The sequence below is a fragment of the Homo sapiens genome, chromosome 1 (assembly GCF_000001405.40).
Source record: "Homo sapiens chromosome 1, GRCh38.p14 Primary Assembly".
In the NCBI taxonomy this organism is placed as follows: domain Eukaryota; kingdom Metazoa; phylum Chordata; class Mammalia; order Primates; family Hominidae; genus Homo; species Homo sapiens.
Genome location: NC_000001.11, coordinates 207,570,270 through 207,589,826, shown reverse-complemented (window position 1 = coordinate 207,589,826; position 19,557 = coordinate 207,570,270). Strand labels below are relative to the sequence as shown.

Genomic DNA, 19,557 nt, shown 5'->3' with positions numbered 1-19,557 from the left:
TTGTGTATGCTTCATGAAGTTCTTGTGCTGTGTTTTTCAGCTCCATCAGGTCATTTATGTTCTTTTCTAAACTGGTTATTCTAGTTAGTAATTCCTCTAACCTGTTTTTCAAGGTTCTTCGCTTCCTTGCATTGGGTTAGAACATGCTCCTTTAGCTCAGAGGAGTTTGTTATTACCCACCTTCTGAAGCCTACTTCTGTCAATCTGTCCAACTCACTCATTCTCCACCCAGTTTTGTTCTCTTGCTGGCAAGGAGTTGTGATCCTTTGGAGGAGAAGAGGCATTCTGGTTTCGGGAATTTTCAGCCTTTTTGTGCTGGTTTTTCCTCATCTTCGTGGATTTATCTATCATTGGTCTTTGATGTTGGTGACCTTTGGATGGGGTTTTCATGTGGACGTCCTTTTTGTTAATGTTGATGCTATTCCTTTATGTTTGTTAGTTTATCTTCTAACAGTCAGGCCCCTCTGCTGCAGGTCTGCTGGAGTTTGATGGAGGTCCACTCCAGAGTTTTTAAAAGCCCCTTCTCAGTTGAGGCAATGGCTTTTGGTGTGGCTACTTGTCCCAAGGAGAAGTCAAGAGCAAGAACCCCATAATGTCTCCTCTCTGTGTGCACTTTGATGCATACTCTTCCAGAGCTGCTGTTACAATTAATGTTTACCCTCCCAAACTCTGCTTCAGGGTCCTCCAACTCAACTGTATTACCTACTGATCTCAGTTAAGGAGGTTTACATGGTTCAACTACCTTTTTTCCTTTTCCTTATTTGTAAGCTGCTCCTTTTCATCCAATGAATGCCTGACCAGGTTTCACATGTACCACCTTTGACAGGAACATGTTGCCCTCCTCTGGTTTACAATACAATACATATTGTACCTTCTTTTTTGTATTCCTTTGATCATATGGCTATGTCCAACGTATCATCTCCATCTATAAGTCCTATTGCTTGCTTTTAAAGTAAAGGGAGCAATAGTTTAGTTTGTCTATCTGAGACTGGGTCAGAAGTTGGCTCTGCTGTTCTGGAACTCATATTCAAGAGATGGTATTCTCAACTCACCCTTCATTACAAGAATAATTAACTGTTGATCCAAACTGTGTATCTGTGTTTATATGCACCATTCCATTGAAGGGTTCTGGTGGAGGTCCACATGATTTTCCTAGGGGAAGAAGCAGAATTTGGGATTAAATATAGAGTTCAACTTACCTTTGTAAGGTTCAGACTGGAGTGTGGCATACTAAACAGCATATACAGTTCCAATTGTTTCATGGAATTGACTGCTTTGAGGAAACTTGGCAGACAACTTCAGAATCATGTAGCTACGAACACAACTTTGAAAAAGACTATCTTGCACCTCCTAATAAAGGTTATGTATGGGCTCTCGCCTGTAATCCTAGCACTTTGGGAGGCCGAGGCCGGCAGATCACCTGAGGTCAGGAGTTCAAGACCAGCCTGGCCAACGTGGCAAAACCCCATCTCTACTAAAAAATACAAAAATTAGCTGGGCATGGGAGTGGGTGCCTGTAATCCCAGTTACTCGAGAGGCTGAGGCAGGGAGACTTGCTCGAACCCAGGAGGTTGCAGCCAAGATCGCGCCACTACACTCCGGCCTGGGTGACAGAGTAAGGCTCCATCTCAGAAACAAACAAACAAACAAACAAAAAACACAACAGCAACAGCAGAAACAAAACAAAAACAAAACAAGTCATTTATGGCTAAAGTGTTGTACTCTCATTCCGCCAGCCAAAATCAAAGGCCTCAAAATTTGGGATGTCTCCCCTATTTTTAGTTAGCCAAGCACAGTTCACTGCAACTCACATAAATTTCTTTTGTACCCCTGTTTCATTCATTTAATGGTGTCAGCCATCAAGGATGATCTACAGTGAATGTAAATTTTCTCTCTAATTCTTTTGTGAGAGCCATTCTCATGAAATGAGCATCTAGTCAAGGTTCAGGAACTACAAGCAAGAAGAAGGGGTGATGTACAAGACCATCCTTTCCTTTATCAAAATATCTTGGGCAAATATAGACATCTTGCTTCCAAAATTTGAGCAAATTGAATCAAATCCCACCTACGTTGTTTTTGTTGTTGTTGTTTGTAGACGTGGGGTTTGGCCATGTTGCCCAGGCTGGTTGCGAACTCCTGAGTTCAAGCTATCTGCCAGCCTTGGCCTCCCAAAGTGATGGGATTACAGGCGTGAGCCACCAAGCCCGGTCCCACCTATGCTTTAACAGACATGAAGTAGTTCCCAGGGAGGGGTTACTCACGTCTACAGTTGTCTTCAACACTTGACCAGACCAAGTTTTCTAGGCAGGAGATAGAGAACATTTTCCCAAAATACCCAGGACGGCATTCATAATTCAAAGATGTCCCGACTGGAAACTCAAAGTCATTAATTGGGATCGTAGGACTGGCAAATGGAAACTGCTCTGGGGTTTTACAGTGACCTGGAGAGAAAAACCACAGGAATATCAAAGTTAGCAGAGAGACTTCCACCCTACCTCCTCTTTCTCTTCAATTAAGCTGATAGGTGGATCACAGAAACAAAGAGACTTACAAGAATAGCAAAAGATTTTCTTCTCCTTGATGTTACCTTGGGATGAAGCTCTTCAATGCATCTACTCAGCAGGATTTTTTTTACTATTTGGAAGACCACTCAGCTTTCTGATCTTTCTTCCCTTATTTCACCAAAGCAAGAACTTCAGCTTGTAGTTTCACATTCTGACCTCCTATCGGAGTGCCTATATCCTCAGTTAACCACTCAAATCTTCATGTGTTTGTGCTAATTCACTCATGAGTAGCAAGACATATTTTATCATCTCTCTCCATACTCCATTCTCAGGGTGCCCATCATAAGCTGCCTCTCTGGCCTTTCATAGCAGGTACCCCTTGTAGTGAGTTGAATGATGTTCTCCCAAAAGATATCTCTACCTAAAACCTCAGAATAGAAACTTATTTGGAATAATGGTTTTTCAGATAGAATTAAGATTAGGTTCTTGAGATTAGATCATCTTTTATTTAGAGTGGGCCCTAAATCCAATGACTGGTGTCCCTATCAGGGAAAAAGTGGAGGGATTTGACATATAGAGACACAGGGGAAAAGGCTATGATGGAGGCAGGGATTTGAATGATGCATCCACAAACCAAGGAATGCCAAGGAATCCCAGGAACCAGCAGCAGATGGAAGAAGTAAAGAATTGGTTATTTTCCAGAGCCTTAGAAGATGGGAAAATACCTCTGCCAACATCTCAATTTCAGCCTACAAAACTGTGAAATAATAAGTTTCTTTTGTTTTAAGCCACCTAGTTTGTGGTAATTTGTTACAGCAGCCCTAGGAAACTAATACAGTGTTTTTCTTCTGATGCTAAACCAGGCATTTAAAGATAGAACAAAATAGGCTGGGCATGGTGGCTCACGCCTTGTAGTCCCAGCACTTTGGGAGGCCAAGGCAGGTGGATTGCTTTAGCCCAGGAGTTCAAGACCAGCCTGGGCAACATGATGAAAACCGGTCTACATAAAATACAAGAATTAGCTGGGTGTGGTGGCATGCACCTGTGGTCCCACCTACTTGGCAGGCTGAGATGGGAGGCTTGCTTGAGCCAGGGAGGTCAAGGCTGCAGTAAACTATGATTGCACCACTCTACTCCACCTGGGCAAAAGAGTAAGACCCTCTCTCTCAAAAAAAGCACACACACACACACACACACAAAACAAAACAAAAAAAGAACCAGAACAAAACAGACTAAGCCATCAGCCTTCTGTAAGAAGCTATGTCTTCTTTCTGAGAGAGTATATTGTGTGCTGCATATTTTTACTTTTTTTGTTTTACAGTTTTTACAATTTTTCAGTCTTATTTTTTGTAGAGTTAGGAGCTTGCTGTGTTGGCCAGGTTGGTCTTGAACTCCTGGCCTCAAACAATCCTCTCACCTCGGCCTCCAAAGTGCTGGGATTATAGGTGTGAGCTACTGTGCCCAGCCATGTGCTGCATATTTTCAAATAGAGTCTGAACTCCATTACCTCCTTTTTGGAGAAGGCTTCCTCCATCTGTTCATTAAGCCTGCACTGGGGTCTAGGCATTTACATTAAAAAAATTTACTGCATTCTGATGGGTACCACTCAGTTGGAGAGTAAAGGTCAAAGAAAGGTTAAATGCCTTTCATCAGGTTTAGTCTTTTCACCTTGGCTGGCTCTTGTCTCTCAGGGCTTCCCTGTGGATAATGGAATATTCCAAGGCTGGTGCCACATCCCTAATCTACTCCAGTTTCTGCTCTGGAAAAGGCCTAATGTTTGCCCTGAAGGACCAGGCAACTTCTTCCCCTCCTTAGGAAGAAATAGCCTCTTCCTTTTCCTACTCTTTTCTTTGGGCTACTCTTTCCTTGCTTCTTACCCCCTGAGTGGAACAGTTCAAGTACAAAGATTAAGACAGCCTGGAGGCAAGATGACAAGTGGACAAACTTTAAGTCAAGACAAAGAGAGTCTTTTTGGTTACTTAGCCCATGCAGCAGAACACTAGTTTAAAACCTTAGCTAAATAATATCCACATTTCCAATTTTGAACTTTGCATGCCCATGTACCCCTCATGAACTTATGGAGACTGTCAATTATACAGATACTGGTTAGTGTTCAGAGGCAGATGTTTTCATGTCGTCTCCAGTGAATACATTTTTCTTCCTGATTTACATAACTGTGCCTTACTGCCTTCCCTCCACCCCTCCCTCAGTCCCTTTTTCCCACCCTCTTCCACTCCACCAGCAAGAAGAGTTTTCATCTTATAGATTCAAACATACCTTGGCGCTGCTGAAACCCATCTGTTTTAGCTATGGTATGTAATTTTGACATTTACACTTATGACAAAGTTAAGCTCACAAACAAATACCATAGTCTTATTACAGAAACATGAGGGATTGGGTCCACATATTCTGAACCCATTTAGGATATGTGGAAGTGGATACTGACCAGCACGAACAGAAAGTTCACAGCGAGGGGCAGGGCTGCTCCAAACCCCATTCCCATGAGGGTCACTTGTGCAGCGGATGGTGCTCTCCCCAATGAGGTTGAAGGTCATCCCTCTGTCTGGGTGGGGGTCACATGTGTAAGATATTTCTTTTCCATAGGGAATATCTCCAGAGGGAGTTCCTGTGTGTCTCCCATTAAGGATAGCTGGAGGATTTGGACAAAAGATATCTAGAAAGAAAACAAGAGCTCTCAATTCCATAAAAAATTTTAAAGTATAATCCAAGGTGATTCTACAGTTGTCATACTGTGACTGTGTTGCCAATTAAGCGTACTTTTCTTCTTAAGGAAAGTAGAAACTGCAAAATAAATGTATTAGGCCTCTGCTAAGATGGAGCTAAATGAAATGACAACTAAATCAATGTTTATTACAAAAGCCTTTCCCAAATTAAGCATCCTAAATTTTTCAGATAGTTAATATTTCTGAATAATAAAGAGTATATTCCTTTAAAGTAAATAAAAATCTTCACAGTCACATTAAAGGGGAATCATCCATTAATTCAACAAGCATGTTTTTGAATATCTGCTGTATGTCAAGTACTGTTTAAAGCACAGGATAAATATGATCTTTGACATCAAGAGTCTTCATCCTAGAGACATCTTTCTAAAATATATTATACATTTATTATTTGTATATCAGTGATTTAATTTTTCTTGATGATGCCAGGCTATGATTTTCAAAATACAGATGAAAGATTGCAGTAATGCTGTCACAATGAAAAAAAAATGCTATGTACTCCTGTATGTGTTTCAAAAGGCTCAAGAATGTTACGGTTTTTTGAGATACTCATTGGTTTTTAAGGGTTTATTTATTTATTTTTTTCATTAAAGAAACACATTTATTCCTTGGAATGCCTCTATTTGGGGACACTCCTTCCCTTTTCTAATTTGCTTTGAATTTGGGAAGAGGATATTACAGCTTAAAAGAATTATAGATAAACTAATCAAAGGTTAAAATAGCTTAACCAATGTTTACACTCTAGTAAGCGATTTCAGGTATATGTTGGGTTCATGAGGGTATTTTCTTTTTCTTTTCTTTCATACTTCTTAACTATTCCAGGGAAGTTAAGATTGTCAAATAGCTGACTTCCAACAATGTAAGATGAAATTATCATTTTCATCATATAAATCAATACAAGACATTGAAATGATTTAAGGCAAAGTATTCATATGAGCAAAATTCTATTGTAAACATGTATTTTTAATAGCTATGATCAGAAGGGGAAGCAATACCCTGATTGATTTAGTGAAGAAGTAAATGGATAGATGGGACATAGTAGTGTTTCTGTTTTTAACACACTATTTTCTGCCCTCTTAAAAATCAAAAGCAAACCTCTTGCTGTCATTTCCCTCTTCAGCTATAGTCCTATTTCTACTCTCTTTACATGAAAACTCCTCTAAAATATTGTCTATGATCTGTTACAGTTCCTCCCATTCATTCTCCCTAGAATTCATTCCAATCAGTGTTTGCCAGCACTCCACTGAAACTTCCACTTGTTACCTCCAAGTTGCTAAACCCAAAGATCAATTTTCTGTTCTCACCTAATTTGACCTCTCTATAGAATTTGACACAGTTGATTAGTCTAATCCCTTAAAATAATTTCCATACTTGGCTTCCAGGGCACCTCACCCTCCTGTGTTTTCTCTTACTGCAGTGGCTGCTTCATCATAATCCCCTTTGCTGATTCCTTCTCACCTTTGCAACTCTTAATCCTGGACATCCAGGCTCAGTCCATGCATCTGTTCTCTAGCAGCACTCACTCCCTAGGTGAAGATCTCTTTCAGTCCTGATTTCAAGCATAGCAGATACAATGATGGCTTCTACATATCTATGGGCAGCCTGGGACTCTCCAACATATCCATCTGGATATCTAAGAGGAACACTAAAGTTATGTCCCAAGCTTAACTTTTGATTTCCCCCATTCCCAAACTTCATGCAGTCCCCTGCATTTCAGCTAAGGGAAATTCTACCCTGGCGGTTGCTCTGGCCAAAAACCTGGAAACTGGCTATGTTTCTTCTCTTTCTTTCACACCCTCTATCTAAGCTAACCATCACCAAATCCTGTCATCTGCACCTTCAAAATATATCCAGAATTTGATCACTTCTCATCATCACCTTTCCCAATTGCTATCCTGGGCCAACATCTCTGATTAGATTGCTGCAACAGCCTCCCATTTTGAACCCTCAGCTACACCCAGAGGTTTGCTGGGCTACACTTGCCTTTTGGGTCCTCAGCTACATTCTCAATTGACAGCACTGACTCAATTAAGAGCATTTTCTTAATAACACTTAGTATCATTTGAACATTTCTATTCATGTCTTTGATTTTTGTCTTTATCCTTGCACAAAAACTTAAACATGGACTTATCTGTCTTGTTTATAGGTATATCCCCAGTTCCCAGAAGATTGCTTGGCACATAGTAGGTGCTCAAATAATTTTCTGTTGAAAGAATGAGTATATGACTAAATGGATGATTGAGGGAAGAACTGAAAAGTTGAAGTATGACTATTACTTTTGACAGGAAAGAAGAGAAAAATTTAGCCTAGCATCTTGCCATACATTTATTTCTATGAAGCATTTCTCTCTATTTATAGCACAGACTCTCCTCATAAATATTTATAGGATGGTACCCAAAACACATGATTCTCATGTTTATTTTTCCCCAAAACATTGCTTGTATCTATTCCAACAAAGAACAATTTCTATCAAAAGCGGGCACAAACAGCGGGACAAACAATAGATAATCCCATGGGGCAAACTATATTAAGAAAAAAACAGAAAGATCCAGACTGAACAAGTATTCCATCTACTCACGTTCACACACAGGAACACTGTTATTCCAAAGGCTTCTCATTCCAACCAAGACACAATGACTAACGGAACTGCCCTTTAAGCGAAACCTAAAGAACAAAGCAGTAGTGGCTGGATGAATGCACCATTTCTCTCTTCCCTTCGTGACAGATCTCAACCTCCTCCCTGAGAATTCCTAAGTTAATTAACATTTTACTGCTCAAGCTAAAGCACAGGTGAAAACACTCAACTCACTTAGTTTCTCATTGACGGGCTCAGAAGCCAAATCATTTTGGAAAAAGTGTAGCTTTCAGTGAGGACAAAGCAATAATAGCTGGCAGAGCTGTCAATCACATGTAATTGGAATTTAGAATATTTCTACTTACTCTTTCGTTCCTATTCCAAATTCCACTATTTATTTGATTAAAAGTTTTGTGAAATAATCTTTGCATGTTATTTTATCTTATATACAACTTTCTCTTATATATCAAACTTTTCTTAACAACCCCTAGAATATTTATTTATCTCTTCATGTCTGCAAATTATTATTTATTCATACATCTAATGTTCCATGTATATATGTATATACATATGTATATATACATATGTTCCATATATATGTATATACATATGTATATATACATATGTATACATATACGTATACATATGGACATGTATACGTATACATATACACATGTACATGTATACGTATACATATACGTGTCCATATGTATACGTATACATATACGTGTCCATATGTATACGTCTACATATACGTGTCCATATGTATACGTCTACATATACGTGTCCATATGTATACGTCTACATATACGTGTCCATGTATACACATATGTATACACATGTACATGTATACGTATACATATACGTGTCCATATGTATACGTATGTATACATATATATACACACTTTTTTTTTCAAGATCTTTTGTATTTCGGCCATTGTTTTTCCTTTGTGCCTTACTGGAAGCTGCACGTTTTCCAAAATGATTTTACTTCTGAGCCTCTATAAGTGAGAAATCAAATGAGTTGAGCTTTTTGCTTTTTAAACTTCTGTTCATGGATCCAGCTGGTTCATACCACACTTTCCAATCATTGTTTCAGATATTAGTCTCCTCTAGTACTTCTTTTCCACCAGGTTGGTCCCCTTTTCTGGACTGGTGACTGTATTTCTGTTTGTACTTGACACTCAGTTATATGCGCCATTTTTTCTTTATCTCTTTATCTCCTGATAGTAGTGCCACTTAGTCCCTACCTTTATTTTAAAGCTACACTTCCAGAGGTTAATCTCCCTGGATTCTTCTTCTCCTAGGTCAGCCCTCTTTTTGGATTGATCCTTAAGCTCAAGAGTCACTCTGCAGTGCTGAGTCCCTGATCTGAATTCTGGGTCACACTTACCCTTCATCACAGACAAAGGACACCTTTGCCCCAAGCTGGAGATTAAGTGGAAATAGCACACGGCCATGAGGGAGTTGACCCAAGAAGTCATCACAGGATTTCACTAGAAGAAGAAAAAAAAAAAAAAGAAAAAATAGGAGTAAGACCTCCATGTGTGGGGTAAAGAGAGAAATCTGGAAGCCAGAGAGTTGAGGCACCTGCACATCTCGGGGCTTCAGGGCTCCAGTCTCCCTGGGGTGTGCAGTGCAGAGACGCAGCCCCTCTGAGGTCATAGCCAGGCTCACAGCTGTAGAACACTTCCTGCCCAGGTGAAAAGTTGTCCTGATGGCTTGGGGTATGCTCACCATGCAGGATTTCTGGAGGCGGCTGACACACTGTGGAAAGGACAGTTCCAGAGTACTTGTTAGTTATGGGGGAATTTCCTATGCTTCCTGAAGACCTCATAGCTAGTCAGAGGTAGAGAAATAGAACCCAATTCTCCCTAGCACAAGGCCCCAAATTCACTTGTAAATCTACAGGGCATGAGGTATTTTCTCCTAGCTCTGGCTATCCAATGTGAAGTTATCAGTATTGGTGGATTCTCCATCTACATATTTCCTAGGAAGGTAATCCCGATTTGTACCATTGTTATTCAGGTAATGAGACTGTCACCTGAGACCAAATCTGTTTTACAGATTTCCCCCAATTTCTCTGATTGCACACCAATGACTAAAGTACAGTCATACTGTTTCGGGACAGGCATGCCCCTAAATTGGGGCTTACTCTGGAAGGGTTCTTGCCTCATCCAGGACAGAATTCAAGGATGAGCCAGTGGTGCTAGACAGCAATCTGTTAGTGAAAGGCACTGCTTCTTGCAGAGCAGGGCTAACTCACAGGCAGCACACCCAGAGTCAGCAACATAAGGGTTCCTGGCAGGCAACTGTGTTTATACTGCTGTAAACCCATTTCAGTTACATGTAAATTAAGGAGTGGATCAATGCAGATTGAGGGGCGAGTTATTTAGAACTTTCCAGGAAAGGGGCGGTAACTTCTAGGTCGTTGCCATGGCATTTGTAAACTGTCATGGTGCTGATGGGACTATGAGGGCAGCTAGCAATTGCTTTCATCGCCATCTGCTGGTTCCTGCTGTTTTTTCACTTCATCCTGTCTGGGCCAGAGCCTGTTTTGGTCAGCAGGATTGTGACCAGAACACAAGCCCTGCCCATCTCCTGCCTCAGTACATCCGTCTTTATATCCCTTTATCTGTTCATCTTCCCAGCTCAGTGGTTGCACAAGGCTAACATGGGTTGGTAGAAGAATCGTAAGCTCCTTCTCTGTCCCTATGTATCAACCATAACACCTCCTACACAGCTGCTAAGCCAGCTATTGTGGCATCAGTAGACAAGATGAGCCATCAAAAACACAAGCCATTAAATAAGACAGTCCTTTGTCACGAGAGGGCATATTATTTGGAGAGTATTTGACTCAACATCTGCCTTTATTTATAGTCCTGTTCGTTCATGCTTAGGGCATCAGAACCCATTTTAACATCAACCTAATCTATACCTCATTAAACATGAATTTAGAAATATTTAACTGACTTTGAACAAGTTACTTTCACTCTTGACTTAGACTCCTAGGGATAAAATGTAGGACGTGGATGGCTTGAGCCTAGGAATCTGAGGCTGCAGTGAGCCATGATTGTATCACTGTACTTCAGCCTGGGCAACAGAGTGGGACATCAACTCTAATAAATAGTTTTTAAATAAAATAAAATCAAAATAAAATGTAGGAGGCAGACCATTATAGACAAACTCTAAGGTCTTTGTCTATTCTGAGGCTATGATTTCTGTCTTTGTAAGCCAGTCTCTTTCTTTCAGCAATGGATACTGATGAAAGTATGGCAAGAGCCAAAACATTCAGACTCTGGGGTCTGATACACTTGCATTTTAAAATCCTGGGTGTCTCGCTTAGAACATGTGACTTAGCTAATTTATTTAACCTCTGAAAGATCAAGCTGATGTCACTATTAAATGGATAATACAATAGCACAATTTCAAAGTGTTGTTGTAAATAATGAATGAGAAAATGCATATAAAGTGCTTAGCACATAGCTGATCATAGAGAAAGTCCATATAATTTTTCAATATACTTGAGAGAGATTGCAGCTGGTACTTTGCCCTGAGAATCAAATAATAGGTGAGTCCAAAATAGCTTTTTTCTTGGCTAATTAAGGTCTTGCTTTCCAAATGAAGACACATATGCATGGGTGCATGCACACCCCCAATTCTTAATTTCATGCTTCTTCCCCCAAAACTTACTTTCCCACCCTCCTCACCATACATACCTCCCCCTTAACAAATACTCATCTCCTGATCCAACAGCAACACATGTCACTGGCAGGGCCCTTCTAGGCATCAGTCAGACTCACCCCTGGAGCAGCTTGGTAACTCTGGCTCCCATTTGTTCAGGGCCTGGCACTTCACACGGCGGGGTCCTTTCATGACAAAGCCAGGCTGACACCTAAACTCCACAACTTCATTTAAGGAAAATAAGCTTCTGTTGTCAGATACCAATATTCCATTTTCCACATTTGGAGGCGTGCATTTGTTAGGTATAATGCACTGAGGGGCGGGGCCGCTCCAGATGCCCACTTGATCGTCATTGCTGGTGCAGTATATGGAGGGCTCACCCACAAGCTCAAACACCTTTCTCCCTCTGCTTCCAAGATTGCAGCGGTAGGTCACCACTGATCCATAGTGAAAATTCTCTCTGTTGGTGCTAATGAAATCTCCATTGGCGATGGTTGGGGGTAGCCCACAAGGAATTCCTGGAAAAGAGACAGCAAGTTAACCAAAACAAAACCTTGGGACAGAGTCTTGCTGTCACCCAGGCTGGAGTGCAGTGGCACAATCATGGCTAACTGCAACCTCTACTTCCCAGGTCAAGCAATCCTCCCACCTCAACCTCCCGAGTAGCTGGGATCACAGGCATGCACCACCATGTCTGGTTTATTTTTGTATTTTTAGTAGAGATGGGGTTTGGCCATGTTGGGCAGGCTAGTCTTGAACTCCTGGCCTCAAACAATCCGCCTGCCTCGGCCTTTCAAAGTGCTGGGATTATAAGCGTGAGCCACCGTGCCCAGCCTGGTTTCTAATAATTATACTTTATTGTAAATTTTGCTAACAGTTTTGTTTTTTAATTTCAAATTACCAGAAGTAAATATTGACAATATTATTCTCATCTAATATTTGCTAATGTACAGACATGTTCTTATAGTTTTAAAATGTTATGAGTGCTGCTCTACTCAGTTAACCTTATTTCACTAAATGTATCCATGTATTATTAGAGTCCATGTGTTTTTTTTTTGTTTGTTTGTTTGTTTTAACAGATCCTCACTCTGTTCCCCACACTGGAGTGCAGTGGCGTGATCTCAGCTCACTGCAACCCCCGCCTCCCAGGTTCAAGCGATTTTCCTGCCTCAGCCTCCTGAGTAGCTGGGATTACAGGCATGCGCCACCAAACTCGGCTAACTTTTGTATTTTTAGTAGAGATGGGGTTTCACCATGTTGGCCAGGCTGGTCTCGAACTCCTGACCTCAAGTGATCTGCCCACCTCAGCCTCCTAATGTGCTGGGAGTACAGGCATGAGCCACTGTGCCTAGCCTATAGTCTATGTTTTTATTTCTCCTGCTAAACGAGAATTTAACTATGTTATCTCACCATTATTAATCTAGTTCTCTCTATATAGAAGGCATTTGCCTTTATGGTATTGGATATTAATATAATAAAGCATACAGCATAGCATTTTTTTTTGAGACAAGGTCTGGCTCTGCTGCCCGGGCTGGAGTGCAGTGGCACGATCATGGCTCATTGCAGCCTCGACCTCTCTGGCTCAAGCAATCCTCCCACCTCTCAGTCTCCCGAGTAGTTGGGACTACAGGCATGTGCCACCGTGCCTGTTTAGTTTTTGTATTTTTTGTAGAGACATGATTTCACCATGTTGTACAGGCTGGTCTCAAACTCCTGGGCTAAAGCCATCTGCTCACCTAGGCCTCCCAAAGTGCTGGGATTACAAGTTTGAGTCACCACACGTGGCTCAGTATAACATCTTTATTAAATAATAAGAACAAAAGCTCTGGAAGAACTAATAAAGACAAAGCACAAATATACAATATTACATATAATAAACATGATACTTACAGATTCAGAAGTAATAAAAAGAACTGGATACTGATTTACAGCCATACCACCCTGAATGCGCCCAATCTCGTCTGATCTTGGAAGAACTGAATACTGTGTCCTACTCTACTGTAGGGCAGTGCCCAGCCAGTTTATTGGCCTTCTACAAAGTTTGTTCCCACTTATCCTGCCACCAACTGGGTTTGAAATTGCTGATTTCCTCACACCATCACTAAACCCAGGATTATACACATTTTATATTCCCTGTTAGCTTGCAATTGCTCATTCGTCTTTGCTCCCCAAAATGTAGAAAGCTCATCTTCCAAACAACTCACAGGGAAGATGGCATGATCCTGTTTAGACAAAGAATAAGAAGGAAGAAAGAGCTGCATGGCTTGAATATCTGATGTGATACTAAGAGCTTGCAGAGAGGATATGGGGTTTCTTTCACTGACTTTGTATTTGTTGACTTCACTAAACAAAATGCTCTTCAAACTGCGAGGTGCTCAACCAACAGAAGAGGACATTGGGGGCTGGTTAAATGAGCTAAAGACTAGTTTAAAATACATTAGACTGAGATAAGAAAAAAAAAAGCATTTCTAGGTGAAGGCGGAAGTTTGGAATGCTGTGAGCCATTTTAAGGATATGACTAGATTCTTCAAATATCAGAAGGATACCATTTCCAAGAGGGATGAGATCCATTCTTTGTAATTCTAGGAGGACAACTCTAGGATTCAATGGTGGGGTGAATGGGGAAAGAGATTTCAACTCACGTTGACAAATTGGCGGCTTCGTGCTCCAATGGGCAGTATTGCCTGAGAGGATACATTCAGCAGATGAGTGACCAATGAGTCGGTGCCTAAAGGCAAAAAATGGAAAATCATTGTCCTGTACATACCTCATCAACTTCCTGACAGCATGCATATGTGGCAAACCAGAAGGATTACAATGCAGGAGAAGTCTAAGGCCTAGCCTAAACTTTACCTATTGTTTCCAGCTCTTCTATTTCTTTTTCTTATTCTTTCATTATTGAAAGAGATATTTCTGCTCTAACTTCTCCTGGCCCACATTGCTTCTTAATATCTTGGCTTCACTGTGGACTGCAACTGGCACGAAAATAAAACAATTATTTTGTAGACCAGTTTGACAATTTTTTTCTTAAATTCTATCTTTCTCTAAATATTATTTTTGCCTTTTTTTGTTTGCATTTTCACTTAATTTGTGTGTGTGTGTGTGTGTGTGTGTGTGTGTATAATACTATGTCATTTTACTTGAGACATGTTTTTTATAAATACAAGATTTGTTGCTTTTGATCTTGTCTAAGAGACTTTGTTTTTCAACAAGAGGATTAAACCAAATGTATTGAGATAAATGATACATTTGATTTGCTTTCATCATCATTCTTTCACTGCCTTTTTCATTGATTTCATGATGCCCAATGATGAGGATGTGGAGAAAGCAATGAATAAAATGACCTGACCCAAAAATGAGGGGGCTTATTTCTGGTGGAAGAGACAAATGCATTCCTTGTCTTTCCTTTTCTTTCCCTCTCACTTGCTATATGGAAGAGATAGATTCAGCTGTTTTAGTTATTCTAATAATTTGGAAATTAAACTTATTATTTTTTCTAATGAGGAATTTCATTTTATATATGTGCATGTATATTACACACATGGATATGCACACAACAGATATTTAAACCTATTTTCTCAATTTTAGAGTCAAACTCTATATAGTCAGTCTACTCATCTTTTCTGTAATGTAAGTTTAGCCTACCTTTTCTTGCTGTCTCACATTTTCTAGTTTTATTGATATGTTCTATGAGTTTAGAGAGATTATTAGTAAATTATGATTACATTGCCGAGTTTTTGTGTGTATTTTTTTATTGTTGTTTTTTCTTTTTACCAATATCCTATCTCATTGAGATTTCCTTTGGAATTCATCATTCTCCTTTTTAAAAATTTGCTTATGAATTACCTGGGAAACATACTTAAATGGTACAATTTTTGTGTCTTTCTTATCCTTTAATGTGTATCTGGAGCCTCTAGGTGTGAATATTAGCTTGGCTCAAGAGAAATGCTATCTTCTACAATTTAGTGTTGTATAGAATCAATGTGGTGTCAATAAACTTATTTCTTTTGCGGGTATTATATTTTCACATTTTATTTCTGGAATCAGAGTTTTTTTCTCTATCCCTGAAACACAGAAGTTTCCCTAGTGATGGCTAGGTATGGGCTTATTTGCTTACCCTTCTGGAATTTTTGCTACATGTATTTTGAATCCTGACACTGTGTTACATATGTCTTCTCTTTTTCCTTTTTTGAGACAGGGTCTCATTCTGTCATCCAGGCTGGAGTGCAGGTTGCCATCAAGGCTCACTGAAGCCTCAGCCTCCTGGGCTCAGGTGATCCTCCCACTTTAGTCTCCTGCCTAGCTGTGACTACAGGCATATGCTGCCATGCCCAGCTAATTTTTATACTTTTTTGTAGAGATGGGTTTTTGTCATGTTGTCTAGGCTGGTCTTGAGCTCCTGGGCTCAAGTGATACTCTTGCCTCAGCCTCTCAGTGTGTTGGGATTACATATGTGAGCCACTGTGCTTGCCTGTCTTCTCCTTTTCATCTTTTCTCACTGCATTCAGGGAACATTTGGTTAACTCTTCTTACTCTTTGCTTTAATTTTCTGCAATATTCATTGTGATATATATATATGATATAGATCACATGTATGAAATGAAATATATAAACACACTGAATACATATATTCATTCATGTACACACTTCATGGCTAGTTTCACAGAAGTATTTGTACAATTGAATCTTGTTACAAATATGAAAAGGAGAGTGTTCTGAAAGTTTCCCTGGTTTCTTGGCAGTAAATCTCTTTTGTAAAATTTCTCCTGATTTTTCAGACTGGTCTCTTTTACATGTATTTCCTGTTTCTTCTCATAAGCTCAATGGTTTTCTGCTTCATGCCATAGAGAGGTTCCTCACTTATTCAGCAATGCAAGATGAGTAGGGTACAGTCAGGAAATTTACCAATTGCATTTAAAAATGCTTAAAAAAAAGAGAGAAAAGGAGACATCGGATTTATTCTAATTTTTGTCAGATTCTAGGTGCTGTGGTCTGTGAGGCCTATGCTGGCAAGTGTGCTGGACACCACAAACTTCCTTTCAGTGTCTGTTGTGGTGACACAAACATAACCCGTATTCGCTACCTGGCTTAGCTGTTCCCATGAAGAATGAGATTGAGGCAGAGCCTCCACCGTGTGCTGAGCAAGGGTGAGCACCAACAGCTGGACCGTGTGCTGTGAGCACCTGATGCCTGACATTTTCAAAGGGGCTCTGTTATAGGTTGAATTGTGTCTCCCCCCAAGTATGCTGAAGTCTTAACCTCCAGTCCCTGTGGATGTGATCTTATTTGGAAATACAATCTTTGCAGACGCAATCAAGTTAAGGTGAGGTCATGAAAGTAGGCCCTAATCCAGTGTGACTGGTGTCCTTATTAAAAGGGAAAACTTTGGAAACAGACATGCACAGAGAGAACAGCATATGAGGACACAGACCCAGAGGGAAGATGGCCATATGAGGACAGAGACAGAAATTGGAGTTCTGCTGCCACATGCCAAGGAAGGCCTGTGGCTCCAGAAGCTGGAAGATGCAATGAAGGATCCTTCCCTACAGGATTCAGAGGGAGCGTGGCCCTCCCAAAACCTTGATTTTGGATTTCCAGTCTCTAGAATGGAACTCCAAAAACTTCTGTTGTATTAAGCCGCCCACTTCGTGTTACAGACATTCCTCAAATATATTGCAGGTTCAGTTCCAGACCACCACAATAAAACACATATCACAACAAATGAGTCAGATGAATTTTTTGATTTCTCAGTGAGTCTAAAAGTTGTGTTTATACTATATGGTAGTCTATTAAGTGTGAAATAGCATTATGTCTAAACAAAGTCATACTTTAAAAAAAGGTTTATTGATAAAAAATACTAAAGATTATCTGACCTTCAATAATTTGTAATCTTTTTGTTGGTGGAGGGTCTTGCCTCAAGGTTGATGGCTGCTGACTGATCAGGGTGGTGGTTGCTGAAGGCCGGGGTGGCTGTGGCAATTTCTTAAGCTGAGACAGCAATAAAATTGCTGTATTGATGGACTCTTCCTTTCACAAAAGATTTTTCTAGCATGCAATGCTGTTTGATAACATTTTACCCTCTGAACTGCTTTCAAAATTGGAGTTAATCCTCCCGATACTGCTGCTGCTTTATCACCTAAGTTTTTGTAATATTCTGTATCCTTTGTGGTCATTTTCACAATGCTCATGTCATCATCACCAGGAAGACACTCCACCTCAAAAAAACCACTTTCTCTGCTGATTCATGAGAAGCAACTCCTCATCTGTTCAAGTTTGATCATGAATTTGTCGCAATTCAGTCACGTCTTCAGGCTCCACTTCTAATTGTAGTTCTCTTGCGATTTTCACCACATCTTCAGTTATTTCCTCCGCTGAAGTCTTGAACCTCTCAAAGTCAGCCATGAGGGTTGGAATTAACTTCTACCAAACTCCTATTAATGTTGATATTTTAAGCTCTTCCCATGAATCACGAATGTTCTTAATGGTATGTAGAATGATGAATTCTTTCCAGCAGTTTTCAACTTATTTTGTTCAGATCCATCAGAGGAATTACTGTCTGTGGGGACTCACCTTACAAAATGTATTTCTTAAATAGTGAAACTTGAAAGTCAAAATTACTCCTTCAGCCATGGGCTGCAGAATGGCTGCTGTTGTTAGCAGGCAGGAAAACTCCATTCATCTCCATGTCCTTCTCCATTAGAGCTCTTGGCTGCTTAGGTGCAATGTCAATGAGCAGTAATATTTTGAAAGGAATCTGTTTTTCTGAGCACTAGATCTCAACAGTGGGCTTAAAATATTCAGTAAACTATGCCGCAAACATACCTCTGTCATCAGGCTTTGTTCTTCCATTTATAGACACAGGCAAGGTATATTTAACTTAATGCTTAAGGGCCCTAGGATTTTTAGAATGGTCGGTGAACATTGGCTTCAACTCAAAGTCACCAGCGGCATTAGCTCCTAAAAAGTCAGCCTGTTCTTTGAAGCTTTGAACCCAGGTATTGGCTTCTCCTCTCTAGCTATGAAAGTCCAATAGATGGCTGTTTTGTCTACATGGAAAATCTGTTATTTAGTGTAACACCTTCGTCAGTGATCTTAGCTAGATTTTCTAGATAACTTGCTGCAACTTCTATATGAGCACTGGCTGCTTCACCTTGGACCTTTATGTTATGGAGAGGGCTTCTTTCCTTAAACCTCAGGAACCAAATTCTGCTAGCTTCCAGCTTCTGTCAGCCTTCACAGAATTGAAGAGAGTTACGGCCTTGCTCAGGATTACGCTTTGGCTTCAGGAAATGTTTCTAGTTTGATCTTATGTCTAGACCACTAAAACTTCTTCCATATCAGCAATAAGGCTGTTTTACCTTCTTATCATACATGTGTTCACTGGAAGAGCATTTTAAATTTCCTTCAAGTATTTTTACTTTGCCTTTACAACTTTCTAGCTGTTTGGCACATGAGGAATGGCTTTTGGCCTATCTTGGTTTTCAACGTATCTTCCTCAGTAAGCTTAATCATCTCTAGCTTTTGATTTAAAGTAAGAGATGCATGACTCTTCCCTTCATGTCAACACTTAAAGGCTATTGTAGGGTTATTAATTGGAGTCATTTTAGTATTATTGTGTCTCAGGGATTAGGGAGTCCTGAAGAGAGGGAGACAGAAGGGGAATGTCTAGTCCATGGAGCAGTCAAAGCACGCACATTTATTGATTAAGTTTTCTGTCTTATATGGGTGCAGTTCGTAGGGACCCCAAACAATGACAATAGTAACATCAAAGATCACTGATGACAGATCACTATCACAGACATGATAATAATGAAAACATCTGGGATACTGTGAGAATAATCAAAATGCTACACAGAGACACGAAGTCAACACACGCTGTTGGATAAATGATGCCGACGAACATGCTTACACAGCGTTCCCACAAGCGTTCAATTTGTAAAAAGCATAACATCTGCGAAGTACAATAAAACGAGGAAGGCCTGTACTTTTTGATGGCAGCCCTAGCAAGGGATCATGCTGTTATCATTAAGATTCATTCTCTCACACAGCTGCT

At 40.2% G+C, this 19,557-nt stretch overlaps 1 protein-coding gene across 1 annotated transcript in view; it reads right to left on the bottom strand.

The window, feature by feature from the left end:
* The window catches only part of CR1 (complement C3b/C4b receptor 1 (Knops blood group)), a 145,609-nt gene that overhangs the window by 51,939 nt on the left and 74,113 nt on the right, over positions 1-19,557 (bottom strand). The window contains exons 28-35 of the mRNA NM_000651.6: positions 14,147-14,232; positions 11,624-12,022; positions 9,411-9,587; positions 9,214-9,316; positions 7,824-7,909; positions 4,951-5,178; positions 2,262-2,441; positions 1,053-1,152 (exon numbers count right to left, since the gene is read on the bottom strand). Of these exons, the coding sequence (NP_000642.3) occupies positions 1,053-1,152; positions 2,262-2,441; positions 4,951-5,178; positions 7,824-7,909; positions 9,214-9,316; positions 9,411-9,587; positions 11,624-12,022; positions 14,147-14,232 (1,359 nt within the window). The remainder of the gene's footprint in view (positions 1-1,052; positions 1,153-2,261; positions 2,442-4,950; positions 5,179-7,823; positions 7,910-9,213; positions 9,317-9,410; positions 9,588-11,623; positions 12,023-14,146; positions 14,233-19,557) is intronic.